This window comes from Homo sapiens, chromosome 16, assembly GCF_000001405.40.
Source record: "Homo sapiens chromosome 16, GRCh38.p14 Primary Assembly".
In the NCBI taxonomy this organism is placed as follows: Eukaryota; Metazoa; Chordata; class Mammalia; order Primates; family Hominidae; genus Homo; species Homo sapiens.
This window is the reverse complement of record NC_000016.10, coordinates 57,510,462-57,538,312: the sequence shown is the minus strand read 5'-3', so window position 1 is coordinate 57,538,312 and position 27,851 is coordinate 57,510,462. Positions and strand designations below refer to the sequence as shown.

At 55.5% G+C, this 27,851-nt stretch overlaps 2 protein-coding genes across 5 annotated transcripts in view, besides 7 other annotated features; one reads left to right on the top strand and one right to left on the bottom strand.

The window, feature by feature from the left end:
• The window catches only part of ADGRG5 (adhesion G protein-coupled receptor G5), a 48,117-nt gene extending 38,877 nt beyond the window's left edge, over positions 1-9,240 (bottom strand). For 2 of the 3 annotated variants that reach the window (XM_011522949.3, XM_047433778.1), the window contains exon 1: positions 8,894-9,047. In XM_011522949.3, the coding sequence (XP_011521251.2) occupies positions 8,894-9,047 (154 nt within the window). Of the gene's footprint in view, positions 1-8,893 lie in introns of all 3 variants that reach the window. The other variant, XM_047433776.1, reaches the window with a different exon arrangement.
• On the top strand, positions 1,297-26,132 carry CCDC102A (coiled-coil domain containing 102A). Of its 2 annotated transcripts, none has more exons than XM_011523469.3 (9): positions 1,297-1,353; positions 8,989-9,720; positions 12,186-12,412; positions 17,137-17,245; positions 19,572-19,688; positions 20,036-20,245; positions 21,850-22,020; positions 22,869-22,972; positions 25,443-26,132. In XM_011523469.3, the coding sequence occupies exons 2-9, from the start codon at positions 9,136-9,138 to the stop codon at positions 25,570-25,572; spliced, it is 1,653 nt and encodes a 550-aa protein (XP_011521771.1). In that variant the 5' UTR covers positions 1,297-1,353; positions 8,989-9,135; the 3' UTR covers positions 25,573-26,132. The 2 variants fall into 2 exon arrangements, with proteins under 2 accessions (XP_011521771.1, NP_149989.2); NM_033212.4 differs by lacking the exon at positions 1,297-1,353 and adding an exon at positions 1,742-1,813.
• Positions 1,500-2,449: a silencer, noted in NCBI's record as "silent region_7531". NCBI's record gives its function as "represses an Ori minimal core promoter by ATAC-STARR-seq in GM12878 lymphoblastoid cells {active_cell/tissue: GM12878}" and the evidence as "EXISTENCE:reporter gene assay evidence [ECO:0000049][PMID:35858748]".
• Positions 4,735-5,293: an enhancer, noted in NCBI's record as "H3K27ac-H3K4me1 hESC enhancer chr16:57566932-57567490 (GRCh37/hg19 assembly coordinates)". NCBI's record gives its function as "activates a minimal SCP1, AML or CMV promoter by ChIP-STARR-seq in primed H9 embryonic stem cells {active_cell/tissue: H9 hESC(primed)}" and the evidence as "EXISTENCE:reporter gene assay evidence [ECO:0000049][PMID:30033119]".
• Positions 5,294-5,853: an enhancer, noted in NCBI's record as "H3K27ac-H3K4me1 hESC enhancer chr16:57566372-57566931 (GRCh37/hg19 assembly coordinates)". NCBI's record gives its function as "activates a minimal SCP1, AML or CMV promoter by ChIP-STARR-seq in primed H9 embryonic stem cells {active_cell/tissue: H9 hESC(primed)}" and the evidence as "EXISTENCE:reporter gene assay evidence [ECO:0000049][PMID:30033119]".
• Positions 8,130-8,179: an enhancer, noted in NCBI's record as "active region_10897". NCBI's record gives its function as "activates an Ori minimal core promoter by ATAC-STARR-seq in GM12878 lymphoblastoid cells {active_cell/tissue: GM12878}" and the evidence as "EXISTENCE:reporter gene assay evidence [ECO:0000049][PMID:35858748]".
• Positions 8,380-8,539: an enhancer, noted in NCBI's record as "active region_10896". NCBI's record gives its function as "activates an Ori minimal core promoter by ATAC-STARR-seq in GM12878 lymphoblastoid cells {active_cell/tissue: GM12878}" and the evidence as "EXISTENCE:reporter gene assay evidence [ECO:0000049][PMID:35858748]".
• Positions 8,870-9,370: an enhancer, noted in NCBI's record as "H3K27ac hESC enhancer chr16:57562855-57563355 (GRCh37/hg19 assembly coordinates)". NCBI's record gives its function as "activates a minimal SCP1, AML or CMV promoter by ChIP-STARR-seq in naive and primed H9 embryonic stem cells {active_cell/tissue: H9 hESC(naive and primed)}" and the evidence as "EXISTENCE:reporter gene assay evidence [ECO:0000049][PMID:30033119]".
• Positions 18,214-18,383: an enhancer, noted in NCBI's record as "experimental_43689 CRE fragment used in MPRA reporter constructs". NCBI's record gives its function as "activates a minimal promoter by MPRAs in K562 erythroleukemia cells, with activity observed for both the introgressed and non-introgressed 16:57553927 variant alleles {active_cell/tissue: K562}" and the evidence as "EXISTENCE:reporter gene assay evidence [ECO:0000049][PMID:34662402]".
• Positions 26,133-27,851: the final 1,719 nt, after the last annotated feature.

Genomic DNA, 27,851 nt, shown 5'->3' with positions numbered 1-27,851 from the left:
TGATCTTCACTTTTCTCATTATGAGAGGGTGGTAATAACACCCAGCCCCTAGGTAACTAAGATAACATCATGCGAGCTGCCAAAACCTGTGGCCAGCACCTACTTTGGTTCTACGATCGGGTGGGTCACGTCACCCCACCCTAGCCCCTGCAAAAGACATCCTCAGGACAATATTTACTGCTTCTTCCTAAGGAGAGAAGGCCTGATAGTGATGAGGTTATAGCTGGAGTTCAGGTGCACCATCAACTCAGTCTCCACCACCTTCCCCAGCCCCATTTCCACCTCCAAAAACTCTGGGCAAGACCTCTGGGCTCTTGATCCAAGGCTGTTACTGGCTGTAGGACCTTGTGCAAGTCTGAGCCAAGAGCCTCTCTGAGCCTTCATTTCCTCAGCTGTAAAATGTGGATGCCCTTGTCCTCTGAGTACTCAAACCCCACATACATCTCCTATCTATCTCTGGCTGGTGAACAGACGCTTTCAACATTCAGCCACGCATAACAAATACAAAGCAAATGAATCGACAAGTGAAACTGCCAGTCTTGCAACGTATGGGATTTCATGAAGTTGGTGGAAGCAAAGCAGGAGAAATGGAACAGCCGCTGCCCACAGAGAAAGGGAACGTCTGCAAGGGAAGTGACCCAGACCCGAAAAAAGGCACTGGACTATCAAAGGATTCAGAGTGATCCTTGAGTTTGAGGAAGCTCTCAAATATTTTTGCAAAAATGAATCTCTTACTGCAAAAACCAGTTCAGAAGGGAAGGATGCTACATACTCAACTATTACAAGAAAAAGCAAGACTTCCAGTGTTAACATCTGATTCATTCTTGGTTCATTTTAAGGCGTGCGTGGTTGCAATCATAATCTAAACTCCGTTAATCACGGGGTAAAACTAATTTATCTTCGTAATATTTAGCTTCTTTTTCTAGGTAAAATCCCAATCAGGCCAGGTTTTCCCCACCATCTTGGTGAATTGTTGGTCTTCTTTTAAATAGATTCACCTCGGGGGCCTTCCAGGGTACAGGATGTAGTGGGGAGTCCTCCAGACGCCTGTCCCGGCTTTCCAGTCAAGACCACAAACATCCTACCCCCAATAGAGAGAAAGCCCCAAAACAGCTGGGCGTCCCCGAAGGCGAAGTACCGTAATTCCCCAGGGCCTGCCAACCACCATCGCAATGCAGAGAAAAGTCTCCGCCCGCCGGGCCGAGTGCTCCCCGCGCCCCCCACCTCTTAACAAGCGCAAGGTTGCTTTCGTCAACCCTTCTGTTGTACAGAAAGAGAAACTGAGGCCCGATGGGCACAGACTTGTTGGCCCACTTCCACTCGGTGGCAGAGCTGGCCCAGGGAAAAATGCAGGTAACAACAGTGAAGACTTGGTAAGCTCGCTCCACGTGCCGAGCTGGGACCCGCGGTGGCCGTTTCTGCTGGGGGCGCCTAGTACGTAGTTGGCGCTGAGGAAACCTGAACCAAGAAAGCCGAGCCCCCCCGCAACTCTCGGCCCCTCACGGGGGTGGGGCCTCCGTTGGGGTACGGCCCGCTCTGCAGCAGAGCCCACCGCCCCGGCCCGCACCCCTCGCCCCGAAGTTAGGCTGGAGCCCCCACCCCAGCAGCTCGGTGGGCCGGGGTCACAGCGGGGCCGCAGCCTGCGACCGCTTCGGGGGCCCCGCCGCTCCCCCTGCTTCCCCTCCCCCCGGGAGGGAGGAGGAGACTCCGCGGCCCTCCCTCGGCCCCTCCGGCGGCGGTCGCAGCTGCACGGTGCCCGCTCTACCCCGCCGCAGCGGCTGGGACGTACGGAGCCCGCAAGTCCCGGCCCGAGGTGAGCGGGGGCGGCAGGCCGGGGGGCGGCAGGCCAAGGCGGCCCGGGAACTTGCTCCAGGCCGCGCGCCTTCCGCGGGAAGGAAGGGGTTAAGTTGTGGGGCGTGCTGGAGGAGCAGACACAGTCGGGGCGCCCGCGGCAACCCCCGAACTCAGAGCAGAACTTTCTAGACGCCTCCCCGGCCTCCCTCAGCCCCCGGAACCCCAGGTCTCCGGTGGGGAGGGGCCGCGGGGTGATGGGGGAGGGGAGGCGCCTCCGGAATGCCGCGGCCCGGGCCGGACGGGAGGGGGCGGCGGGCGGGGACGGAATTTGGGACTCTCCCGGGGGACCCAACGTGGTCGCCATGGCGAATGCGGGATGGACGGGCGGCGCTGGCCAATCAGAGCACGGCGCCCTGCCCAGAGCCGCGGCGACTGCCAATGGGGGCCATGCGGTGGGGTGGGCGGGACCGCGCGGCGCGGGCCGGGAACCCCCTCCACCCTCCGCCCGTCGCTAGGTGGAGCGGGGCGGTTCGCAGGGCCAGCGGCTTGGGAGGGGTCGACTAAGTGAGGACTAAGGCGACGCAGGGCTGGGGCTTCAGTTTCAGTACCTTAGGTGGGGGTGGTGTCCACCTTCCCACCCCCGCTCTCCCAGGGCTCTTGTGGGGGTTGGATTGGTTTGGGTTCGGGAGGTCTGCCCACCTGTTAGAGCGTTCAGGAATCTTTTTAGTGCCTCTCCCCATCCTGTAGGTAAGGAAACTGAGGCCCAGAGAGGGCAGGGACTTGCAGATATCACACAGCATATCAGTGATGGAGCTGGGACTAGCGGGATGTCTGCTGTACAAGAGTGAAGAGTTCACGGTGTTGCCGAGAGGGGTGGGGCTGGGGTCGGGGTGGGGCTGGGTCCCCATGAAGGTTCACCCCACCATTCCAGCTGTGCGTATCCACTTGGCCTGGTGCCTGCAGACCCCATCGTGTAGGTGCTCTCGGGGGCATTGTGCCCCTCAGGTGGCTAAGATCCAGAAGAGGAGGCATCCCATCACCAGCTCCCTACTCTGGCCTTGCTGCTGGTCCGCGGTGTGGACACAGACACGTAGCTGTCCCTCTGGGCCTCAGTTGGTCCATATGTAAAGAAAGGAGTTCAAATCAATGATCCAGGCTGTCTCTGTGGCTCCTCAGTCTAAGATGGGGCTACCTGGGAATAGGCCAGGGGTGCCTACCCCTGGGCTTAGGTCCAGCCTGGAGGCCTAGCCGCCATCCCTTCCTTTCCCGCCAGCCAGCTCCCCCCAGAGGTCCTGCAGCTGGATCCTGGGCAGCAGGTCACAGGGACAGGTGCCCGCAGTCTGTGGGCTGACCAGCCTTGGGCCCTGCACTTATTCAATCAGGCTGTCCTCTGTGGTTTCCCACTGGGCTCTGCTTTCTGTCCACAGCCAGGCCTGTGGCCATGGGCTTGTCCCAGGGCCCTACCTGAAAGGCTCTGGGAGGATCTACAGGGTTTCAGAGCCGGGGAAGGGGTTGGGGCACTGGGCTCCCCATCCCTTCAGCTGGCCCCTGTCCAGGCCTTGGCATTGCTCATTCCTCTCACTGATATGGAGAGACCCATCCAAACATGCTGAGGACAAAACACAACGCTGTTCCCAGTGGGTCAATTAGGCTTCCCCAGGTAAAAGGTGGGACAGCCGACTTGGCCGTGAGATGACCTCTTATTCCAACCCTGGCCAGACAGGCTCAGATACCTACCTGTCTCAGAGCCTGGCCACCGACTGACTCCTGATCTTTAGGATGACTCAACCTTCCCAAACTCTGCATGGTCACAAGGGTACCCCTAAGAGTGGTACCACCTTCTTAGGGGTACCTTCCATCCATCACGCATCTGCTGTATGCTGGGCCCTGTGCTGATGCCCTCGCTCGTGGACTTCAAAGTAAGGCCTTTGCTGTAGAACACGGAGGTGCCTGGTGCTTTGGGAGCATACTCTGTGCAGAGAGGTTAGAGAAGGCTTCCTAGGGGAGGGGACACTGGAGGTGGGTTTTGAAGGATGTGTAGGAGTTTGCTGATGAAGGAAGGAGAGATATTCCAGACAAGTCCACAAGCAACAGGAACCACTGGGTCACTTTCTGTGGGCAGGGCTGATGAGGGCCTAGCCTGCAGCAAGTGTCAGCTCAAAATATTCTTGTTTCTGTCCTGGAGTGAGCTACCAGTGAGCACAGCTGTGGGGCTGGGGTTCAGGAGCCCTGATGGAAGCTCTAAGTGGCACAAGTGTCCCATCTGGATGAGGGAAGCCTGTACTGCCAGAAGAGAGATGGCAGCTTGCCAGGCTTGGCTGTGGGAGGTTGTAGGGCTGTGGTCCCCAGGTGGGGGTGGGGTTGGGGAGATCAAGGCATTTCCTGGAGTTGGTGGCAGCTGAACTTGAAGATGGGTGGGGGTTTTGGAGTCTGGGACATGGGCATTTGGAATACAAACCCAGAGACTTAAAGCAGTAATAGACCTGTCTGGCTGTTGGGAGGCAGGACAACGAAGGGTGGGGTAGGAAAGGCTCCCCGGGGCCTGTGGTGGCCGGTCCCACCGTGACCTGCCCCTTGGTGGGGCAGTATGCCAAGGGAACAGGAGGCCACGCCCCACGCACATAGACACCCCATGGCAAGAGGGCATTGAGCCTGGTGGAAGGGGCGGGCAGGGCAGCTGGGGCATCTCCACGACTGTAAGCCATGCTCTGCGCTGCTGCTGCCCCTCAGTGAGTGTGTGCGTTACCAGGGCTGTGTGTGAGTGTGCACGTTACTGGGGCTGCGTGTGAGTCTGTGCATTACCGGGGCTGTATGTGTGTGTGTGCACGTTACTGGGGCTGTGTGTGAGTGCAGGTCCCTCGGGCCATGTGTGAGTGTGAGTGTTACTGGGGCTGTGTGTGAGTGCGGGTCCCTGGGGCCATGTGTGAGTGTGCGCGTTACTGGGGCTGTGTGTGAGTGCAGGTCCCTGGGGGTGTGTGTGTGAGTGTGTGCATTACTGGGGCTGTGTGTGAGTGCGGGTCCCTGGGGGTGTGTGTGTGAATGTGTGCATTACTGGGGCTGTATGTGAGTGTGTGTCCCCAGGGCTGTGCTGTATGAGTGGGGCAGGGTAGGGGGAGGCGTTGCAAGGCAGGGTCTGGCTGCCCTTGGGTCTATGTGGGAGTGCAGGATTCCTGGTGTGCTGGGGGCGGGGTGGGCTTCTCCAGAAAACTCCCCTGAGGACCCCGACCCCCACCCCTTCCCACACACCCGCTCCAGGGGACCCTGGGCCTGAAGTGCAAAGGTGGGAGTGCTGTTCCAAAACTTCCGTGCTCCTGCTGTGCCCTTTCCTTCTCCCCCAGCCCCTAGGAGGGGCCTGGCCAGGCCGCTGGGAAGGAGAATGAGGTGAGTCTGGAGCCCCCATCTCTGCCTTTAGCATGGGTGCCTGGAAGCCATTAGAGACCTGGGTGGTGCCTGCCCTGGCCCTGCCCAACAGGCTTGGATTCCTGGAAGAAGCCGGTGGCCCTCTCTGGGCCAAGCCCTGTGCCAGGCCTGGCAGCTCCCAGAGGCAGGGAGGATGTGGCAGTGGCCCCCTCCCTGCCAGGCTCCTAGTTCAGCGGCTGCAAGAAGGGCCCAGCAGACAGGGCCCGGGCCCCCATACCCAGCACAGCTGCCGGCTGGCATTCGGGTTTCCTGCCTCCTCCTCCTCCTCCCCTCCCCCCACAGGCTCTCACATTGTTTTTCTTTTCCAAGAGCTTCTCTATGTGGAGCTAGGCCAGGAAAAGGAGGAGTGTGTGTGTCTGCCTCTGTGTGTGTGTGTGTGTGTGTGTGTGTGTGTGTGTGTCTGCTTCACTTGGGGATGAGCATGTCTCCTTGCATGTCCTTGTACCTGTGTGTCAGTGTGCTGGCATATGTGTGTCTTCAGGCGTGTCTGTGTCTACAGGCAAATGTCTCTCCATGCACCCGTGTCGTTGTGTGCCTGTCCGTCCATCTGAGCATATGTGTGTCTGCCCCTGGGTCTTTGCATCTGTGCATGGGATTGCATGTCTGTGTGTGCACAGATGTTTGTGAATGCACATGGGCATCAAGGCCAGCCAGCTCACTGCACAGGCGGAGAGACTGGGTCACAGAGGCACAGGCTGCTAGGGATCTCCTGGGGTGTCAGTGGTGTACATGGAACCAGAGCCTGGATCTGTATGGCTGTGTCTGGGTGCGTGACACAGATGTTATCAGGGTCGGGGTGTACATGTTGTGTTTATGGAACTGTGGGTAGTAAGAAAGCATCGCCAAATACTCAAATATCCCAGACTATTAAAATGCAAATTCCAAGCTCCACACCTAGCAAACATGACTCTCTCGGGTATAGGGCCAAGTGTCTGGGTGAATCTGAAGGACACCCTGATGAAGAAGCACTGGTCTCTCTCACACATCCCCCCTTCTACACATGGGGAAACTGAGGCCCAGAAAGGGACAGTGGCTTACATGAGGTTGGTGTCAGAGCTGGGCCTAGACCTCATGCATGGTAAAGGCAGACAGACAATAAACAAACAGCAAATGGCCTAGAGAAATGCAGCGGGGTCGCTGAGCAGCACGGAGGAACCTTGACAAAAGGTCATGAGTTTTAAAAAATACTGCTCCACGTGGTGGTGTAGACCTCCAATGCCTGGCTCCATAGTTGAAGGTAAGAGTGGGCAAAGCAGTGGAGGGAACAGGGTTGGCGTTTGCCAGGAGAAGCCAGAACAGGAGGGGCCTAGGGCACAGAGGGTGCTGGCAAGGGAGAAATTAGGAGCACAGAAGGTGAGCTGGGAAAGAGAGGGACATGGGGGTGGGCAGTGCAGTGGTGGGATCAGTGGCTTGCGGCTCCTGCTGGGATTGGAGAGTATTTGGAGTTGAGTCCTAGAGGGAGTAACCTTAGAATTGAGGCTAGGGAGGAATCAGTATTGGTAATGACACAGGGAGGGGCCATCAGAGTGGTCAGGTTCTTACAAGAACTCACTCTGGCTGTTGCTGTTGAGAATGGATTTGAAGGAGGTGAAAGTGCATGATGGGCAGGGAGGTGGGTGTGGGTACTGTTACCCAGGTGAGTGAAGGTGGTGTGGACCCTGACAGGTTAGTGACTGTGGACAAAGAAGGTGGATGGAAGGCGGATGCACAGCAGATAGACTGACAAGGTTTGGCGGTGGGTGGGGGAGGAAAGAAGGCAGATTTCAGGGTGCCTTCAAAGCTGGAAGGAGTGAGGAAGTGCCTTCTCTGGAAGGAGTGAGGAAGTGCCTTCTCTCGGAGGAGCACCCAGGAGGAGCTGGTCACGGGGGGAATGGAGGCAGCAAGTTCTATTTTAACCAAGATGAGCCTGAATCATCTATCAGGCATCCGGTTGGAGGTATGGGAAGCTCTGAGGGCAACCTGGGCTGGAGAGGGACTTGGAGTTGGGGACATAGCGAGATGGCTCGGGCAGGGATATCGTGAGAGGAGAAGGGGGCCCAGGGCCCGATGACAGCCGCATTCGAGGGATAAGCCCAGGGGGTTCACCTGGGAGGCTGACGAGCAGCTGGAGAGGAGGGGAAACCTGGAGAGGAAGACGTGGAAGCAAGTGAGGCAGGGAAGCAGGTGCCACGGTGGGTCCAGAGGGCACACCGTCACAGGGGACTGGAAACCAGCCTGGCACAGGTGGCCGGGTGACAGAGCGCCAAGCAGGTAGACGGAGTGGAGACGGCGAGTGTGGACCACTTTGGAAGGACCTTAAAAGGGAGGTGCCAGGGGAGGGGAGAAGAAGGTGTCAGGAGACACTTCAGCAGGGGTAAGACCCCTGGAAAGGACGTCACTGGCTAGGGTGGGACTGGCAGGAGGGAGGCCTTCGGCTCAAGGAAGGAGAACCCCTCTGTCCTCTCAGGGGCAGAGAGGAGGGGGCCGTGGGGCTTGACAGCTTCCTTTTTCACTGCAAATCATGACGATAGATCATCTGCCGAGAATGAGGTGGGTTAGAGATTGGAAGAAGGTGGAGAGGGGACATAGAGGGCTGCCAGGCAGCCTTGGGGACAGCCAGTGCCGAGTCCCACCGACAGTACACTGATCACTCAGAAAGGGTGGGTCTTAGGGGCAGGTGTGAAGATCTGTGGACCAGGGCTCTCTGCCTAATGGGGAAGGAAAAGTGTGATGTCCCAAGGGGCTGTTGGTGGGTGGCAGTCAACAGAGGCCGCAGTGGAGGGAGACTGGGGACAGAGAGGGACATGCCTCTCATTTATTTTAAGGAGGAGGGGGGCATGGCCCATAAATGGCAGAGCCCAGTGCTGGGCGATGGGGAGGCTGAAGTGAGACACAGAGAACAAGAGAGCTGTTTGCGGTGAGTCACGGTGTCAGGGAGGGGTGGTTCCGGCAGAGAAGGGGAGAGAACATCCTGCTGCACTCTCAGAAGCCCTTTCCATCTGAGGACTGGTTTGTTTCCATCATCATCCCCAGCGCGTGCGTTCATTCAGCAAATCCTTACTAGAGTTTGAATTTGTACTCATAGATACCATAAATGGAGGTAATCATTTTCTTCACCTCCACTCTTTAAGGAATAAATGAGATCGTTCACCTAAAGCCCTGGGCACAGTGCCTGGCTTGTGGCCTGCCCTCCACAAATATCATTGTCATCATGTGTTGGGACTAAAACAGTGGTCAGGACCCAGTCCTGGACCACAGCAAACTCACAGCCTTGGTTAAAGGTACACAGCAGACACATAAATGACAGGGTAAGTTAGTGCAGTGATGGAGACACATAAGGGGCTGATGGACCTGGCCTGAAGTGCTCCAGGAGGGCTTCCAGGAGGAAGTGATACCTCAGAAGAGTCTTAAATATGAGAAGAGTTAGCCCAGTGCAGGAAAAGGCAGGGAGGGGACTCCTGGCACCAGCCCAGTGCCCCCGCCTGGGTCCTGTGCGGAAGTTGCATAGTAGTATAGTATAAGCCATCAGTGTGTGAGCCGGGACCGGGAGAATAAAGAACAGATCAAGGTTTCAGATTAGCGCCGCTGGGTGAAGGGATTGGAGCAGGGAGTCGAGGCCACTGAGGAGGCCTTTGCGGGCCCTTGCTCCACCAATCCTGCCTCATTGGGACTCTCCTGGAACAGAACTCTCTCCTCCTACCTTGGCCGTTCTGTTCCCTCCGCCAGGGCCTTGGCGCGGCTGATCTTCGAGACTGACGGTGGTCGCAGTCCAATAACGGTTGTGTTCTCCCGTAGGTCCGAGGAGGCGTCCTCCGCCCGGTGGCCCAGAGGGAAGCGGGGCACGGCGTCATCATGCACAGTTGTATCGCGCCCGCCGCGCGTCCCCGGAGCCGCCCCTGAGCCCGACCGCGAGTTCGAGCTCAGGGCCCGCCCGGCCGCACCATGAGCCACGGGCCCAGCCCCCGGCTGGCCGAGTCCCCGCAGCTGTCCAAGGGCAGCCTCCTGACCATCCTGGGCAGCCCGTCGCCGGAGCGCATGGGGCCTGCCGACTCCTTGCCGCCCACGCCGCCCAGCGGCACGCCCTCGCCCGGGCCGCCGCCCGCACTGCCCCTGCCCCCCGCGCCCGCGCTGCTGGCCGACGGCGACTGGGAGAGCCGCGAGGAGCTGCGGCTGCGGGAGCTGGAGGAGGCGCGGGCGCGGGCGGCGCAGATGGAGAAGACCATGCGCCGGTGGTCGGACTGCACTGCCAATTGGCGCGAGAAATGGAGCAAGGTGCGCGCTGAGCGCAACCGCGCGCGCGAGGAGGTGCGCCAGCTGCGCCAGCGCCTGGACGCGCTCACCAAGGAGCTGGCGGGCGCACGGCGCGAGCGCCAAGAGGCGCAGGGCGAGTGCGAGGCACGGGGCCGCGAGCTGGCGCGGCTGAGGGGCGCCCGGGGGGTCGCCGACCAGACGCGCGACGGCCCCGAGCCGGAAGCGGAGCGCGAGCCAGTGCGTGACGTCGGGTCCGAGAGGCCGCCAGGCAGCCAGGTGCGCGGCGCGGGCGGGGCGTTCGCGCTCCAGTCTCGAAGTGGGCGGGGCCGATTGTCCTGAGCTGCTGGGCTCAGAAACAAGCTAGTAAAGGCCTGGCCTCCTGGAGGTTTCACTTCTCCAGGTCGGGTTCTACCCTTGCGGGGCCTCACATCATTTTCCTTCCAGAGACCTCAGGGTGGAGAATCCCAAGTTCTGTGATCCCTCCACTCCCACACCTGAGAAGTCAACAGAACCAAGGAATCATCCCCTTTGAGCCAGGAGAGGGATCCAGCAACTTGCCTAGAAGTTAGCTGATTCGTAGCAGAGCCGAATCCATTGATTCAATCAGAGCTGAGCGGTGGGAGAAATCAGGGCACTGGGATCACAGAGGAGGTCCCTGACGCAGGCTTCACAGAAGCTTTCCTGGAAGAGGTCACATTTAAGCTGAGACTAGAATGATGAGTAGGAATTAGCTGTGAAAAGTGCCAGGAGGGCAGGACGACGTGGCTCGTACCTGGAGTACCAGCTACTTGGGAGGCTGTGGCTGCGGCAGCAGGATCCCTTGAGCCCAGGAAGTCGAGGTTGCAGTGAAATATGACTATACTGCTGCACTCCAGCCTGGGCAACAACTCCACCTCTAAAAAATAAAAATTAAGAAAAAAAGTGCCCGAAGGCATTCCAGCTGATAGAAACTGCCTGTGCAAAAAGTCTAGAGGCCGAGAGGGCCTGGTGAGTTTGGAAAAAGGCAGTAATAGCAACGGCCGTCATTCACTGGGCGCCCACGCAGCACTTAGCCGAGCATGTGCGTTATCTAGGTAACCCCCACAGCAACCCTCTAAGATATTTGCTCCATGGGGAGGATCCTGAGGCACAGAGAGATTCAGAAGTAAGGGCTGGGCGTGGTGGTTCACGCCTGTAATCCCAGCACTTTGGGAGGCCAAAGCTGGTGGATCACCTGAGGTTAAGAGTTCAAGACCAGCCTGGCCAACATGGTGAAACCCCATCTCTACTAAAAGTACAAAAATTAGTCGGGCATGCTGGTGGGCGCCTGTAATACCAGCTACTCGGAAGGCTGAGGCAGGAGAATTGCTTTAACCCGAGAGGTGGAGATTGCAGTGAGCCGAGATCACACCATTGCACTCCAGCCTGGGCAACGAGAGTGAATCTCCATCTCAAAAAAAAAAAAAAAAAAGCAGCAGCAATGTCTGCCAGCCGGTGACAACTTGCTGGGGTTTGAACCTGGACAATCTGGCTCCAGAGTCCAGGGTAATAATCAGGATGGCTGCTGCATTAACAGTGGGTGCAGAGGGCACCCTCTCCTGAGCCAGCAGGCCTGTTACCAGAAAGCCACCTAGGGGCAGGGTCCAAGCTCAGTTCCCCAGCTCTGTCCCCAGCTCAGTCCCTGGACAGGCCAACTCCTCCAAATAAGACTGCCCCTCCTCTATTCTGCCCAGCCCCCTCCATCCCGTAGGCTAGCGTGGGCACTGCTGCCTCCTGTGGCTGAAGTCCCCTCTTCCCTGGGGTGACCTGGTGTTTGGAGGTGGTGTTCACTGCGCACAATGCTGTTCCTGTCCTATCCTTATTCCAGTTGTCGGTCACAGGCCAGAGGGCTGTGGGCAGTGGCAGGAGCCCTAGGCTTGCAGTCTGAGTTTGTTCTCCAGCCCAGCCTTTTCATGCTGTGGCCCAGAACAAGTCCTCTCTCTCCCTGTTCCCCATTCGTAAAATGGGGCTTTGGACACCTCCACCTGAATAATCTGAGAAACAGAAGAGTAGCTCTCACTCCTCAGGGAGTCCTCAGGGCCACCGCTCCAGTCCAGCTAGGGAAACTGAGGGCCGGGCCAGGAAGAGGCTGGTCCAGACTCATCTGGAAAGGCTGTGGGAGAAGCTGGAACAGGGGCTGTGGTCCTTGTGGGTTTGTGTCAGAGACAGGCCTTGGAGATGGGCGGGGCGGAGAAGAAGGGCAGGATGGCAAGAAGGAAAGGGGCTCGGCCCTGGGTTCCTAATTTCTCAACTGCTTCCTGTCTGGGAGCTGGCTCTCCTCACAGGCACTGCTTCCCTGTGTCACCAGTCTCCCCATGCCTTACTATTTGCCCCTGAAAAAACAGGATCTTAGAGCTAGAATTCCTTTGGAAGGAATCTAGGCTTAAGCCATTATAGGAATTCCTGCTTCAACATTTGTTCCCATCGGTGCCCCGCCGTAGGTTTGCATACTTCCAGTGACAGGGAGCTCACCACCTCTCCTGGGGAATCTTCTAGGATACAGGGAACCATGGTGGCTGACACTCTGCAGCTCCAGGAGGTGAAAGGGGAGGCCCAGAGCAGGGTGTGTCTTCCTTCTCCAGAGATGGAGAGGCAGGCAGCAGAAGAGGAAACTGAGGCCCAGAGACACTGTGTGACTTGCCCAAGGTTACCCATCAAGCTGATCTCAGACCCAGGGCCTGGCTTGGCGGCCACTGGTCCAGCCTCCACCTTGGTCCCCGCAGGAACTGGAGCTGGTGGAGAGCCTGCTGAAGAGCATGCCAGAGGAGTCTGAGGACTGCTGGGAGGCGCGCAGCCTGGGGGCTGGGGGCCCGCGGGGCAGCTCAGGCCGCCAGGAGCGCAGCCGGCTACCCTGGGAGGACACAGCTGCCACGGAGGAGGAGGCCTCCAAGTTGACCGCCCTGCGGCTACGGCTGGATGAGTCCCAGAAGGTGCTGCTCAAGGAGCGAGAGTGAGTCGTGGGAGGCGGGAGGGGGCAGGGCCAGGGCCAGGCCGTGCTACAACGCCCTCAGAATCACAGAACATTAGACTCACGAAGATGACAGGTAGTGTTTAGACTGTATCTTGGAACTGTAGAGCAGTGGTGTTCCACCCAAGAACTCAGTGCAAGTTTTTATTTATTCATTCAAATAATACGTTACCAGGCACCTGTTCTGGGCCAGGCACTGTGCTCTGCCCTGAGGATACAGCCGTAAATAAGACAGAAGCCCCTGCCTTCCTGAAACGTACTTTCTAGTTGGGGGAGAGGGCTGTGGGCAGGGTAAAAGCAGGGAATGGAGACAGGGAAGTTGGAAGGTTGCAGCTGGGACCTTGGTTTTGGACGTGTGAGTTTGAGATGGCAGGGAGGCAGCTGGGGATGTGAATGAGTCTGGAGTTCATGAGACAGGCCTGGGCTGGAGGTAAAAATGCAAGAGTCACCAGTGAAGAGATGATATTGAAAGCCATGAGCTGGGCCAGGCGCAGTGGCTCACGCCTGTAATCCCAGCACTTTGGGAGGCCGAGGTGGGCAGATCACTTGAGGTCAGGAGTTGGAGACCTGCCTGACCAACATGGTGAATTGAAACCCCATCTCTACCAAAAATGCAAAAATTAGCTAGGCGTGGTGGCAGACACCTGCAATCCCAGCTACTCAGGAGGCTGAGGCAGGAAAATTGCTTGAAGCCGGGAGGTGGAGGTTGCAGTGAGCCGGAATTGTGCCACTGCACTCCATCCTGGGCGACAGAGCAAGACTCTGTCTCAATAAATAAATAAATAAATAAATAAATAAATAAATAAAACGATGAGCGTGGACAAGGGCCAAGGAATGAGTGTGGATAGGGAACTGGTCAGAGGATCCAGCCCTGAAGTGCCAAGTTTAGAGGTCAGTTAGAGGAAAGGGAAACAGCAGAGGAGACAAGAGAAGGGAGCCGGGCTGGGAAGGGGAACCACAAGAAACCGTTTCCCGGAGGACAGAGTGATCAGTAAGAACAGGGCTGAGCCCTGGACCATTGGATTTAGAATGTGGAGGTCACCAGTGACCTTGATCAGAGCAGTTTAGAGGGCACGAGCTTGATGATAATGAATATTCTGCAGTTTTTCTGTCCAGAAATTAAATACGACAATAGCATAACCTATCTACACACTCCTTTTTAAAAAATCAATATAATGGCCAGGTGCAGTGACTCATGTCTGTAATCATAGCACTTTGGGATTCCGAGGCAAGAGGATTGCTTGTGGCCAACCTGGGCCATACAGCAAGACCCTGTCTCTCTCTCTATATATATATATATTTTTTTTAGACAGAGCCTCACTCTGTCAGCCAGGCTGGAGTACAGTAGCACAGTCTCGACTCACTGTAACCTCTGCCTCCCATGTTCAAGTGTTTCTCCTGCCTCAGCCTCCTGAGTAGCTGGGATTACAGGCATGTGCCACCATGCCTCTGGCGCATGTTCTTTGTAGTTCTCCTGGAACTGCATTCCCTATCCAAGTGCAAGTGCCCAGCTCACATTGTGGGGAGGTGGTCGGGGTTCCAGAGCACTGAGCATCCCCGGACAAGTACCTCTCTCCTGCTGCACCTCAGGCTCATCTGAAAATGGCTCCAGGAGGTGGCGGCCCCAGCACTGGCCACTCCACTCCTTGGCCCACCTTGTTCTTCTCGAAGGGCTGTCAAAGACCACCCTGCTCCTGTCTGTTTTGTAGACTATGTTCCCTGCAAGGCTTGGTCTGAACACATGTTTCTGCAGATAGAAACACTGGAAAACACTGTCCAGTGACCCGAAGAGAGGGTTCTCTCTTGCCATCGTCACTGTGTGGGATCCCTACATCCTCCCATAACCCCCACCCTGCCTTGATCTTGAATAAGGCACTGTAGGTTACAAGCATGATGCCTGGCCCTGGCAGAGTAGGTGCTCACCAATGGCTGAGCTCAGCATCACCTTCCAGCACGCTGCCCTTCATGACCCCACACCACACTGGCCTCTCTCTCTGAGAGTGGAACACTCCACGCCTCCAACATGGGGTTCCCAGAGGGGACAACCCAGAGGGTGGCTAAAAAATTAGCCACCAGACCCGGCTAATTTTTGTATTTTTCATAGAGACGGAGTTTTACCATGTTGGCCAGGCTGGTCTCGAACTCCTGACCTCAGGTAATCCACCAACCTCAGCTTCCCATAGTGCTGGGATTACAGGCATGAGCCATTGTGCCTGGCCTACAAAAAAAAAAAAATTAGCTGGGAACGGGGCTGTGCCACTGTAGTCCCAGCTACTTGGAAGGCTGAGGCGGGAGGATCGCTTGAGCCCAGGAGGTCGAGGCTGAGGGAGCTGTGATTGTATGAATGCACCAGTACCCTCCAGCCTAGGTGACAGAGAGAGACGCTGTCTCAAAAAAAAAAAAAAATCACTATAATGCCTTTGTGAAGATGTAGGCAGAGGTCAGGGTGATGCTTTTGCGGACATTGTTGCATCTTTGGCCAAGGAATACCAAAGATGGCCAGCAAACTGCCAGAAGCTGGGAGAGAGGCATGGAACGGATTCTTTCTCGCAGCCCTCAGAGAACCAGTCCTGCCAACAGCTTGATCTTGGACTTCTAGCCTCTAGAAATATGAGAGAATAAATTTAGACTGTTTAAGCCAAACAAGCAAAAAAATCAACCTAGTGCACTAACTGAAATATAAAGTAGAAGTGAAAGTAACTTTTTTTTTTTTTGGAGACAGAGTCTCGCTCTGTTGCCCAGGCTGGGGTACAGCGGCTCTATCTCAGCTCACTACAATCTCTTGTCTCCCTGGTTCAAGCAATTCTCATGTGTCAGCCTCCCGAGTAGCTAGGACTACAGGCACACACCACCACGCCCAGCTAATTCTTCGTATTTTAGTAGAGACAGGTTTTCACCATGTTGCCCAGGCTGCTCTCGAACTCCTGAGCTCAGGGAGCCCACCTGCCTTGGCCTCCCAAAGCGCTAGGATTACAGGTGTAAGCCACTGCGCCCAGCCTGAAAGTAACTTAAAATACACGTGTTGTGATATGGGAGTGCTTGGGCATAGCTCCTCTAGAAGAAATGGTGAAGTGGTCAGAGTGGGTGTCTTTAAATGGGATGATAGTGACGATAGTTATAACAGCAAAGACATAGCATGTGCTCCGAGTCAGGTGTTGTGTTGAAGGCTTACATGTATCTGCACATTTAAGTCACCTCGCAGGACAGCTACAAAGGCGGCTCATGCAGGTGTGCAGACTTAGCAACTCAAAGACACAAGTGGTGTCACTGCGATGCGCTTTCTTGAGAGATGAACAGCCTTTGGTAAAGTTCTGAACAAAGCAAAGTGCAGCCGGGCACCGTGGCTCATGCCTATAATCCCAGTACTTTGGGAGCTCGAGGTGGCAGGATCGCTTGAGTCCAGGAGTTCCAGGTTGCAGTGAGCTGTGAACAGACAGGAACAGGGTAGTCTTTAAGAGATGAGCCTGGGGTACAGCAGGAGGGAGGTACTTGCCCAGAGATGCCCAGTGCTCTGGAGCCCTGACCACCTCCCCACAATATGAGCTGGGCACTTGCACTTGGGTAGGGAGTGCAGTTCCAGGGAGTGAGCTGTGATCTGCACTCCAGCCTGAGCAACAGAGCCAGATCCTCTCTCTAAAAACAAAGAAAAGTGCAGTCTTCCTTCAGTTTATACAGTGATTCCATTCCTAGAAAATTCAGTGTATGTTAGTATAAAAATTACTTTCTGTTTCAATGTAAATCAGAATGAGGCTGTAGGCTCAGATCATCTCTACCCCGAGCAATGTCCAGTGGGCTGTGCATGCATTCAGTAGGATGCAGGATGCATCCTGATGGGCAGGACGCCCAGGGCATTGCAGGGAGTCAGGCACCCTGGCCCCCGTCCACTAAATGACCCCTAATCATTGTGATAGCCAAAAATGTTGCCATGGGTTTTCAACATGCCTCCTACAGGGTGACGTTGTCCCCTCTGGGAACCCCATGTTGGAGGCATGGAGTGTTCCACTTTCAGAGAGAGAGGCCAGTGTGGTGTGGGGTCATGAAGGGCAGCGTGCTGGAAGGTGATGCTGAGCTCAGCCATTGGTGAGCACCTACTCTGCCAGGGCCAGGCATCATGCTTGTTACCTACAGTGCCTTATTCAAGATCAAGGCAGGGTGGGGGTTATGGGAGGATGTAGGGATCCCACACAGTGTCGATGGCAAGAGAGAACCCTCTCTTCGGGTCACTGGACAGTGTTTTCCAGTGTTTCTATCTGCAGAACCATGTGTTCAGACCAAGCCTTGCAGGGAACATAGTCTACAAAACAGACAGGAGCAGGGTGGTCTTTGACAGCTCTTCGAGAAGAACAAGGTGGGCCAAGGAGTGGAGTGGCCAGTGCTGGGGCCGCCACCTCCTGGAGCCATTTTCAGATGAGCCTGAGGTGCAGCAGGAGAGAGGTACTTGCCCGGGGATGCTCAGTGCTCTGGAACCCCGACCACCTCCCCACAATGTGAGCTGGGCACTTGCACTTGGATAGGGAATGCAGTTCCAGGAGAACTGCAAAGCCAGGGTGCTTCTAGCCACATAGGGTGCCTGGGCCTGAATACCAAGGCAAGGATTTTGGACTTGGGCTCAACAAGTGCAGAGGGCACACAGCAGGGCCACCCTTGGTGAGGACTCCAAGCAGAGGGCCTTGGTGGGCTCACCCCCATGTCTGTCCCTTCCCCAGGGATAAACTGGCGTTGAGCAGGAACATTGAGAAGCTAGAGGGGGAGCTCAGCCAGTGGAAGATCAAGTATGAGGAGCTGAGCAAGACCAAGCAGGAGATGCTCAAGCAGGTGAGTCTTGGAGACCAGAGGGTCTTCCTGGAGGCGGCAGGATCGCGCTGTTGAATTTCAGTAGTGGAGATGGAAGAGAGAATTCATTCATTAATTCATCCAACAGTTGTTCTTTTTTTTTTTTTTTTGAGACAGAGTCTTGCTCTGTCACCTAGGCTGGAGTGCAGTGGTGTGATCTTGGCTCACTGCAACCTCCACCTCCCGGGTTCAAGCGATTCTCCTGCCTCAGCTTCCCGAATAGCTGGGATTACAGGCACCCGCCACCACGCCCGGCTAATTTTTGTATTTTTAGTAGAGACAGGGTTTCACCATGTTGGCCAGACTGGTCTCGAACTCCTGGACCCAAGTGATCCTTCTGCCTCGGCCTCCAAAGTGCTGGGATTACAGGTGTAAGCCACAGTGCCTGGCTTTATTTTATTTTAATTTTATTTATTTTTATTTATTTTATTTTATTTTATTTATTTTATTTTATTTATGTTATGTTATGTTATGTTATGTTATGTTATGTTATGTTATGTTATGTTATGTTATTTTTTCTGAGTTGTTCTGAGTGCTGGGCAGGCAAGGTCCCTGCCTTCAGGAGCTCACTTTGTGGGGGCTGTGGGCATGGGAGACCGACAGTCACCAGGCAGATTCATAATTTATGAAGGAGTCAAAACAGAATGAGAGAGATGGGGTGGTAGGTCAGGGAAGGCCTAAGAAGGTGGCATTTGAGGCAAGACCTAAAGGGGCTAGAGGAAGCTGTCCTTGAAAAGATACAGGGGAGAGTGTTCCTGGCAGAAGGCACAGCGGTGCAAAGGTCCTGAGGCAGGAACAAGCCCAGCGTGTGCGGGAAACAGGGAGGGCCAGGTGGCTGGAGAGCAGGAAGTGAGAGGCGAGGCCGCAGGAGGGGGCCTTGTAGACCAGGATGAAGACGAGGAGGCTGGATGTGGCATTCATTGGGTTCCTATCTGTACTAGGTGTCACTGAAGCCTCATGGCAGCCCAGGGAGCTGGGTCCTCATGTCCCCATCTTACAGATAGGGAAACTGAGGCTCCAGAGAAGGGAATCCACCACTGCAGTGTGGGGGCTCAGAGCAGGCTGAGCTGCCACTACGGCCTCCTGTGCAGGCCTCAATGGCCACCAGAGGGCGCAGCCACCCAGGGAACGCCACACTGGATCGGTGGGTTTCTAGCAGCTGGGAGGATCACAGAACTTTAGAGCCTGAAACTGTCCTGGAGGGGACCAAGACTGGTCTTACATGAGAATCTCTGAGGAAATCTCCTAAAATACAGATTCCCAGACCTCGCCTCCACCCTCCTGAATCAGCACCTTTCAGGGCTGGGTCCAGGACCCTGTTCTTTTAGTCTTTTCAAATTATGAAGTATAATCATTCGAAGAAAAGCGAATGAAACACAAATGTACAATTTAGTAGAAAATTATAAAGGTTCTCTTTTGTATCTGGTGTCTCTCCCTCAACATTATGTGTTGAAAACTCATCCGTGTGTTACAGGGAGCAGCAGTTTGTTGGGGTTTGCTGTATACCGCAAGAAATGTTATTGTCTTAAATGCACGCCAAGCAATGCCGATGCACCTGTGTGCAGAGCAGTGTTGGAATTAGTCACTGTACACTGAGGGCGGCCCTGTGCCCAGGCCATACAACGACACAAAGGTGGACAGACGCACAAGCTCCCCGTCCTCCCAGGCTAGCTTTCCAGTGGGGAGTGGGATGAGGAGGCCCCTCCTCCAGGCCAGGTGGGCAGAAGAGGCATTCCTAAGGAGGGGGCCTTTAGGTCAAGGCCTGAGAATAAGAAAAATCAGTCCTAAGAAGTGTCTCAGAAAGATCCACGCATGTGCAAAGGCCCTGTGGTGGGCAGGAACTTGGTGTGTCTGAGGAACAGAAAGGAGTCCCTGGTGCCTGGAGTACAGTGAACTAAGGGGGAGCGGCGGGTAGGTGTCCAATCGTGCAGGGCTTTGTGAGAGCGTAGAGAGGAGTTGGACTTTACCCTAAGGCACCTGGGAGCCATCAGAGGCTTTGTGGGAGGAGGGTGGTATGATTGCATTCATCTTTGTTAAAAGCTCCCTCTGGGCTGCTGTTGTAGAAAACGGGTTGACAGAGAAGGGCCAGGAGTAGACACTGGGAGGCTAGACAGTAATGAGGAGGAGAGACATTGGGAGGAGCAGAAGTGGTCAGATTCGAGGTCTGTTTGGAATACCTGGTGCCTGCCCCATTTGGGCGCTGCCTTGGCTCCACGCTGAGCACTCCTGCACTGGCGCCCACCCCCGGAGGTGGTTCCAGGCTATATCCTGGTGGTTCTCATGACCAGGTGGGGCCTTATCCCTGCAGCTCAGCATCCTGAAGGAGGCGCACCAGGACGAGCTGGGCCGCATGTCTGAGGACCTGGAAGATGAGCTCGGTGCACGCTCCAGCATGGACCGGAAAATGGCCGAGCTGAGGGGCGAGGTGAGGCCATGGATGGGACCCAGGAGGACCTGGGTTTAGGGGTCCTGGGGCCCTGCTCCATCAGCAGGTCACTGGGAACAGGGCAGGGGCCAGGACTGTGCTCTGAGCGGGGCCAGCCACATCCAATGGTGTCCTGATCTGCAAGAGGCAGGCCTCTCTCCCACACAGAGGCCAGAAGCGCCCTCACATCCTGTACACCATGAAATGAGCCCAGCTTAATTACAGCCAATGCAGCTGGATCTGCTTCCTGGAGCCAAAAATGGCTCCAGGAGGTGGCGGGGGCATCCAGCTCAGGCCCTGCATGCCCCCTCCGCTGGGAGTCCTCACTCTGCCCTGCCCTGCTGCAGATGGAGCGGCTGCAGGCCGAAAACGCTGCGGAGTGGGGCCGCCGGGAGCGGCTGGAGACAGAGAAACTGGGCCTTGAGCGGGAGAACAAGAAGCTGCGGGCACAGGTCGGAGACCTGGAGGAGGCGCTGGCCCGGCGGCGGCGGCAAACAGCCAGCGCACTGGACTGCGACCTGAGGGCCAGCCAGGCCGCGCTCTTCGAGAAGAACAAGGTGGGGCAAGGAGTGGAGTGGCCAGTGCTGGGGCTGCCACCTCCCCATCCAGCCAGAGCGCAGCTTCCCTACTATGTGTCAGGCCTGGTGATAATTATGGTAGCTGCATGTATTCAGCACCTTGTGTGCTAGACCAGTTGGTAATTATAGTAGCCGCATTCATTGAGCACTTACTATGTGCCAAGCTCCACTCTAGGTGCCAGAGACACAGCACTGAACAGACAGATGTGGCCTCCCCTCTTCCCCTCATGGAGCTGAAGACTTACTTGGGGGATGTACACATGGCTCTCTCTGTCACACAGATTCATGCCAATCACACAGCTTCATGGTCACCAGCAAGAAGAGGGGATACTAGGAGACCTGGCTTAGGCCCACGGTCCTGGAAATACCTCCCGGAGGCAGTGACATTTTAAACTGAGTTCTCAGCCAGGCGCAGTGGCACACATCTGTAATCTCAGCACTTTGGGAGGCTGGGGTGGGCAGATCACCTGAGGTCAGCATTTTGGGACCAGCCTGGCTAACATGGCGAAACCCCATATCTACTAAAAATACAAAAATTAGCCGAGCATTGTGGGCACCTGTAATCCCAGCTACTCGGGTGGCTGAGGCAGGAGAATCACTTGAAACCGGGAGGCAGAGGTTGCACTGAGCTGAGATTGCACCACTGCACCCCAGCCTGGGTGACAGAGAAACTCCGTCTCAAAAAAATAATAATAAATAAATAAACTGAGTTCTCCAGGAAAAGCAGCCGTTAACTGGTAGTGTGCGGATTTAGGGGAGGGGATGGAGAGAAGTTAGGAATAACATGAATAAATGTCCGTGGTGAAAGAGACACAGAGCTTTGGAGGAACAAGTCCAGTGTGCTGGAGGGGAGTGAGCGGGGGGATGTGGTAAGTGAGGCACGAGTGGTGGGACTCTTCGAGAGAGTTTAAAGCAGGAGGGGAGTGTGAGCAGGCTGTGTGGGCAGAGGATGGGAAGACAGGCTGGGGGGAAGCTGTTGACATTCCCTGGACAACAAGAGAGGGAGGAGACCTGGACCAGGTTGCAGTCAGTAGAGATGGAACAAAAAGGATGGACTCAAGAGACCTTTAGGCAATGCCTATTCCCATTTTACAGAAATGGAAACTGAGGCTTAGAGAACTCACAGAGCTCCAGGGTGGGCATCTCTTTTGCTGGCTGCCCTTCCTCTTCCCAGCCACTCTGGGCTCTGAGACACCCACCCATTCCCCAGCCTAGCTCATTCCCAACCCAGCTCTTTCAATGCCATACGCCCCTGAAGACTCCAGACCTCATCCTTCCCCGGAAACCCCGACCCTGCTCCAACAGCTCCAGGGTAGATCCAGTAGCATCTGAAAGTTACACATCCAAACCGGAGCCACAGGTTCCACCCACCCAGCCTTCTCACCTCCCTGGAAGGCACCTCCAGCCTCTGGCTGCTCAGCCAAACCTCTACTGCTGATACTTCAGACAACAGATGGAGAGATTCTGGGAAGGAGAGACACCCAGCATCCCTAGAACTGCCTGACCTCGTGGGACTCCCTGGCATGGCGCCCAAGCTGATACTGATTCCCTCCTCCCTCCCACCCCATCCCTGTGCCCTGTAGGAGCTGGCAGACCTGAAGCATGTGCATGGCAAGCTGAAGAAGCAGTTCCAGGAGAAGGTGGCAGAGCTGGCACATGCCAACCGGCGGGTGGAGCAGCACGAGGCTGAGGTGAAGAAGCTGCGGCTGCGGGTGGAGGAGCTCAAGAAGGAGCTGGCCCAGGCTGAGGACGAGGTGAGGACCACAGAGGGGCAGGGGCAGCAACAGACCTTGGCCAGGGAGGAGTGGGGGCCGCAGGGCCATCCTGGCTTCTCCATTCTCAGCCCCTGGTGCCTGGCACAAGCCTGTCTCTCAGGAGTCGCCCAGGATAGAGTGGGTAGGTGCGTGATGAATGGATGGCAGGATGGACATGTGGGTGGGAAGATGGGAAGAAAAATGAACAGAAGACAAGATGGATGTGTGCATGGATGAACCAATGGGTAAAGGAATGAATGGATGGATGAATGGGAGAGAGAGGCAGGGCGGGCAGATGGATGGGTGGATCCAATGGATGTATGAACAGATGATGGCTGGATGGGTAGAGAGTGGACAGATGGATGGACAGCTGACTGGGTCAGTGGGTGGAAGAACGAATACAGAGGGAGAAAGAAGGCCAGGTTGACGGGAAGATAGGTGTGTCCGGGAGAGCAGGAAGGCATGGCTAGGCATGCTAGATGGGCTGCTGATTAGATTAATGGATGGGGAGTGGTGGGTGACTGTCTCCATGGGCAGATGAATATCTCCCTGGACGAATGGTCCGATGGACAGACTGATGGGGACAGAAGGATAGGAGGTGGATGGCTGCATCAGTAGTGCAGGGCCTGGGAGGATGGGTAGATGTGCAAGAGGAGGCAAAGGGGATGGAGAGGAACCAAAGGGATGCTTTTCTAGAAGAGGTAAGCCTTAGCCTAGGCCTCAAGGAGCAAACACTCTCGGAGGAGCACCTTCCCAGGGAACAGCAGGAGTGGTTTTCCCTGGGCGGGTGGCCGGCCTTGCCCAGCCCTGGGTGACCCTCGTGCTTTCGGCCCTGCTCACCCCCACAGCTGGACGAGGCCCACAACCAGGCACGTAAGCTGCAGCGGTCGCTGGACGAGCAGACGGAGCAGAGCGAGAACCTGCAAGTGCAACTGGAGCACCTGCAGTCCAGGTGGGCCCCGGGCAGGGAACAGAAACAGGGCAGAGACTTCCAGCCAGGGAACCCTCCGGTCAGGGACGGAGCCCAAACCAAGGCTGGAGGGGGAGACGAAGGAAGAGATCCAGGTGCCTGGAGCCAGAATCCTGTCCCCTCCGGGCAGGAAGGGCCAGAGCCAGGAAACCAGGGCAGGGGGTGCAGGAAGTCAGGCCAGCTGCAGGCCCTGGAATTGTCTCCTCTAGCAGGAGGGCTGGTGGGTAGAGTGAGGGCAGGAAGGGCGGGCTGGAGAGGTCAGGCCCAAGGCTTGGGGCAGTGGGTGGGGCCAGCAGGGCTCAAATAGGCAGCCCTCAGCGTTACTGGGCCCAGGTGACACCAAGACAGCAGGGATCTGAGAGACTGGTGAGCAGGGACTCGTGGAGGGGCCCCAGGCCTGGATCCCGTCCACTGCCAACAGGCCCCACCCAGCACACTCTGCCTCCCTCTCCCAACCCTGTCTCTGTCCCAGCACTCTGTGAATCACAGAACCAGGCGATATCAGAAAACTTCAGTCCACGTCCCTCCCACTTCACAGCTGGGAGGCCCAAGGAGCATCGGAGCCACAGCATTGACCTGTGCCGGGCCCTGAGAATGCACTTAGTTGCATTCTCTTCTTTCGTGGAATAGAGGGTGCCCGGTTCTGCAGCCAGACTGCCTGAATGGTCTGAAGCCTGGCTCAGCATTAGCAGCTGTGTGGCCTTGGGACATTTATTTAACCTCTCTGTGTCAGTTTCTTCATCTGTAAAATGGGGATGATGATAGTTCTTACCTCTTGATTGTTGTGAGTATTAAATGAGCTGATCCATTCTTAAGAAAGTACCTGGAGGCATGGTAGCTCACACCTGTAATCCCAACAGTTTGGAAGGCCAGGGCAAGAGGATTGCTTGAGACCAGGAGTTTGAGACCCCCTGGGCAACAAAGCAAGACCCCCATGTCTACAAAAAATACAAAACTTAGCCAGGCATGGTGGTGTGTGCCTGTAGTTCCAGCTACTTGGGAGACCGAGGCAGGAGGATCACTTGAGCTCAGGAGTTCATAGCTATAGTAGTGAGCTGTGATCACACCACGGTACTCCAGCCTGGGAGACAAAGTGAGATCCCGTCTCTAAGAAAAAAAGAAAGAAAACACCTGGCACATAATAAATGCTGAGTGATTGTCAGCAGCTGCTGCTATTACTACTGTTACTACTACCGCTGCGGAGGGGCTTATATTTGGGTTACATGTTGTGCATCAGCATCACGCTGCTTCTATGAGAGAAAGGAAAGATGTTTTTTCCTAGGGGGCTGGCAGATGAGGAAACTAAGGCCCAAGAGGGTAAGTCTTTCCATGGCCACACAGTTGGTGGGTGGCCAGGCAGAATCACCCCTGGCCATCAGCCATCCAAGCCCTTATTTATTGAGCATTTACTATATGCTGCTGTTTGCTGAGATCTTGTGGCTTAGAGAATGGGCTGCAGAGACCTAACAGCTATTGTGCCATGGTAAACTGAGCCTCGATTTCCCCATCTGCCTGGGATGACGCCCATAAAGTGTTGTGCAGGGGCCCAGGCGTGGGCCCAAGTCAGGACCCATGCCTGGCTGGCTCTGCCTGCTCTGACCCTGCAGCACACACCCTTCAAAAGACCACTTAGCCTTGGGGCTTTCCCGCAGTCTGGGTCACATTGTTCAGGAGCCATAAACTCCAGAAGTGGGCAGGCAGGCCCTGCTGGGCCTCTCAAGTGCTTCCATCGGGGAGGGTGGGGCCACCCAGGACCGCTGTGTCGTTTTATTTTCCAACTTTTTGTGCTTTAATGTTCCGGGGACAGCTCACTAAATCACTGTGCAGTAATGGAGGCCCCCGCCTGTGCCCCTCCCTTACGTGTTAATAATTCATGTCTTCCAGTAAGATGCAGCCGGGGCGGCCACTTTGCTGGGGGGTTGGGGGAGGGATCGGCATTTCCTTCACCAGCTCTTCTTAGACTCAAAGTTTTCCTCGTAAATTTTGACTTTAGGAATTTTAATGTGAGGAAGAACTAGGGCTGAGCCCTTTCTCACTGACACTGGGAATGTAGAGGGCTCAGCCCACCCTGCACTGTCACACCAACCAACTCTGCTGCCTGTGCTCTGAGAGCCAGGCTTGGGTTCAAATCCTGCAGCATGACCTTGAGCCAGCTCCTTCACCTCTCTAACCGCCCAGCTGCTCTGGCACCACCCACTTCAGTTCAGAGCTCTGCCCCACTCCCCACCATCTGTGTGACTTTGAGCAAATGACTTCACCTTTCTGTGCCTCGGTTTCCTTGCTTGTAAAATGGGGGTGATAATGGCACTTCTATCATATAAGGAGATTACAGGAGATGAGACAGCAGGGAAAGCACCAGGGAAGGCTTAACTGCTCCAGCACCAGCTGCAGCCACCTTATCGGGGGACTACCAGCCAGGCTGCTCTAACCTCCTGTCACCCCCACCCCACAGGCTCCGCAGGCAGCAGCAGAACGCTCCCCTCTTCGGGAAGATCCGCAGTGCTCGCTTTGGCACCGAGGAGGCCGAGGATGGAACCAGTGACCTGGACGAGGACGAGGACCTGCAAATCCAGGTGGCCTAGAGCTTCCTGTGGCTGGGCAGGATGGGCCGCCCCATACCTGCCCAGGGTCCAGGCTAACCAGCCACTCAAACTGATGCAGTGCCTAGGCTCACTCTGGGACCAGTCCCTGCCACAGCCGACTTTCTTCTCTCCCAGGGATGGCGTCAACAGTCCCACCTACCAACGCCCTGTGGAAAGGAAGCCTATGTTTTATATATATATATACACACACGCGCGCGCGCGCGCGCACACCCAGAAGTCTTTGGACCCATTTGGTTTTATAAATACAGGACAGCTCCAAGGCCCAGTCCAGATGACCTCACCCACCCAGGACTTCATGCAGGGCTGGGCATGTTGGGGGCAGTTGTTGGAGCCCCACCCTGGGCTGCCTCTCTAGGCTTCGCTGTTCATCATACAATGCAGTGAACCCAGTTATTTGTAATAAATGAAGTTCAAGTTCTTGGGGCATCTGAAAGTATGGCAGATGTGGGCGGGGGTTGTGGGGGACGGCATCGGCCTGCACCTGACGCTGAACCAGAGCTCAGGAATGTCAAGTAACTTAATAAATGAGTGAATGTGAAGAAGAAAGAATGAATGAATGAGGCCAGCCACGGTGGCTCACACCTGTAATCCCAGCACTTTGGGAGTCCAACGCAGGTAGATTGCTTGAGCCCAGGAGTTCAAGACCAGCCTGGGCAACATGGCCAAATCCCGTCTTTACTAAAAACACAAAAATGAAAAAAAAAAAAAAAAAACACAAAAATGAGCCGGGTATGGTGTTGATTGCCTGTGATTTCAGCTACTCAGGAGGCTGAGGCAGGAGAATCGCTTGAAGCCAGGAGGTGGGAGTTGCAGTGAGCCGAGATCACACCATTGCACTCCAGCCTGGGCAACAGAGCAAGACTCGGTCTCAAAAAAAACCCCACAAAGAATGAATGAATAAACATCTGAGCTGCTGAGCAGTCTGGTATCCACTCCTGTGGCGAGGAGGAAGAAAGTACAGTGCATGCCTACTCTAGAGACTTCAGTTCTGGCACCCGATGGATTCATGTCTCTGCCCCTTATTAGCTGTGCAACCTCTGGGAAGTTACTTGCCCTCTCTGAGCCTCAGTTTCTTCATTTATAAGATGTCTCAGAGCTGTCACAAGAATTAGATAGGTTAACCCAGAGCTCGGTAAAGGTTAGTTATATTAAATACCTAAAAGTTTTCCCTGGAGAGGAGGGATTTGCCAGGTGGGCGCAGGGGATGAAGTTCAAGTATTGATGGAAGTTTACCTAGAGGTAGATGTGGACACAATAAATTACAAACCCTTTTTTTCCCCCCAGCCCTGCCCTACATAGCGAAATTACAGGCAGTTTTATTTTTGGTATTTAATTTCTATACCTTCTATAACCAGCAGATTTATGTTAAATCTGATGGTAACAGTGATTAGAAACATGGTAGCAGGCTGGGCATGGTGGCTCATGCCTGTAATCCTAGCACTTTGGGAGGCTGAGGCAGGCAGATCACCTGAGGTCGGGAGTTCAAGACCAGCCTGGCCAACATGGTGAAACCCTGTCCCAACTAAAAATACAAAAATTAGCCGGGCCTGGTGGCAGGCGCCTGTAATCCCAGCTACTCGGGAGGCTGAGGCAGAAGAATCGCTTGAACTCGGGAGGTGGAGTTTGCAGTGAGCCGAGATTGCACCACTGCACTCCAGCCTGGGCGACAGAGCAAGACTCTGTCTCCAAAAAAAAAAGAAACACGGTAGCATACACTTTTGATCTTTCACAGTCAAAGTGGCTTTCGGGGCATCTGCTCTTTTGATGGGACCCTTTAGGTAAATTCTCAGTACCCGGGCCTGCTTTCTGCAGAAGGAAGCGTTGCCAGGATTATTCTAGCATAAAGAAGGTGGTGAGCTCCCTGTGTTTAGGGCTGTGCAAGGAGAGGCTAGGGCTCCAGCCTGGCCCCAAAGAGCAGTTAAATTCGGTTGACAAAGGGGCTGCCTGCTAGGGGTGGGAGAGCTGCACTAAATGATTTTCTCTCGGTGTGGCCTAGTTAAGAGGGAGCCATGAGGCCACAATGCTCAGAGCTGTCCCAGGGACACCAGGGACACCTGGTGCTGGGTCTCAGGGTCACCAGGAGCTCTGGGGATTGTGAAGAGGAGAGAGGCAGACCCAGGAGCCCAGCTGGGCGCTAATAAATAAGGGCACTGAAAAATTTTCTGTTGCCAACACTAAATTAATGATGTTAGCGAGGTGGGTTTGCTGCCATGGCAAAGCCCCTGGGCTCTGAGGGGGATGGGGAGGCTGAGTGAGAC

What these genes read in the sequence shown, in the direction of transcription:
- CCDC102A (XM_011523469.3), top strand. Translation starts at nt 9,136, where the DNA reads ATGAGCCACGGGCCCAGCCCCCGGCTGGCCGAGTCCCCGCAGCTGTCC. An exon ending in AGCAGGAGATGCTCAAGCAG is followed by an intron (nt 17,246 to 19,571) that starts GTGAGTCTTGGA and finishes TTATCCCTGCAG; the next exon opens with CTCAGCATCCTGAAGGAGGC. An exon ending in TGGCCCAGGCTGAGGACGAG is followed by an intron (nt 22,021 to 22,868) that starts GTGAGGACCACA and finishes TCACCCCCACAG; the next exon opens with CTGGACGAGGCCCACAACCA.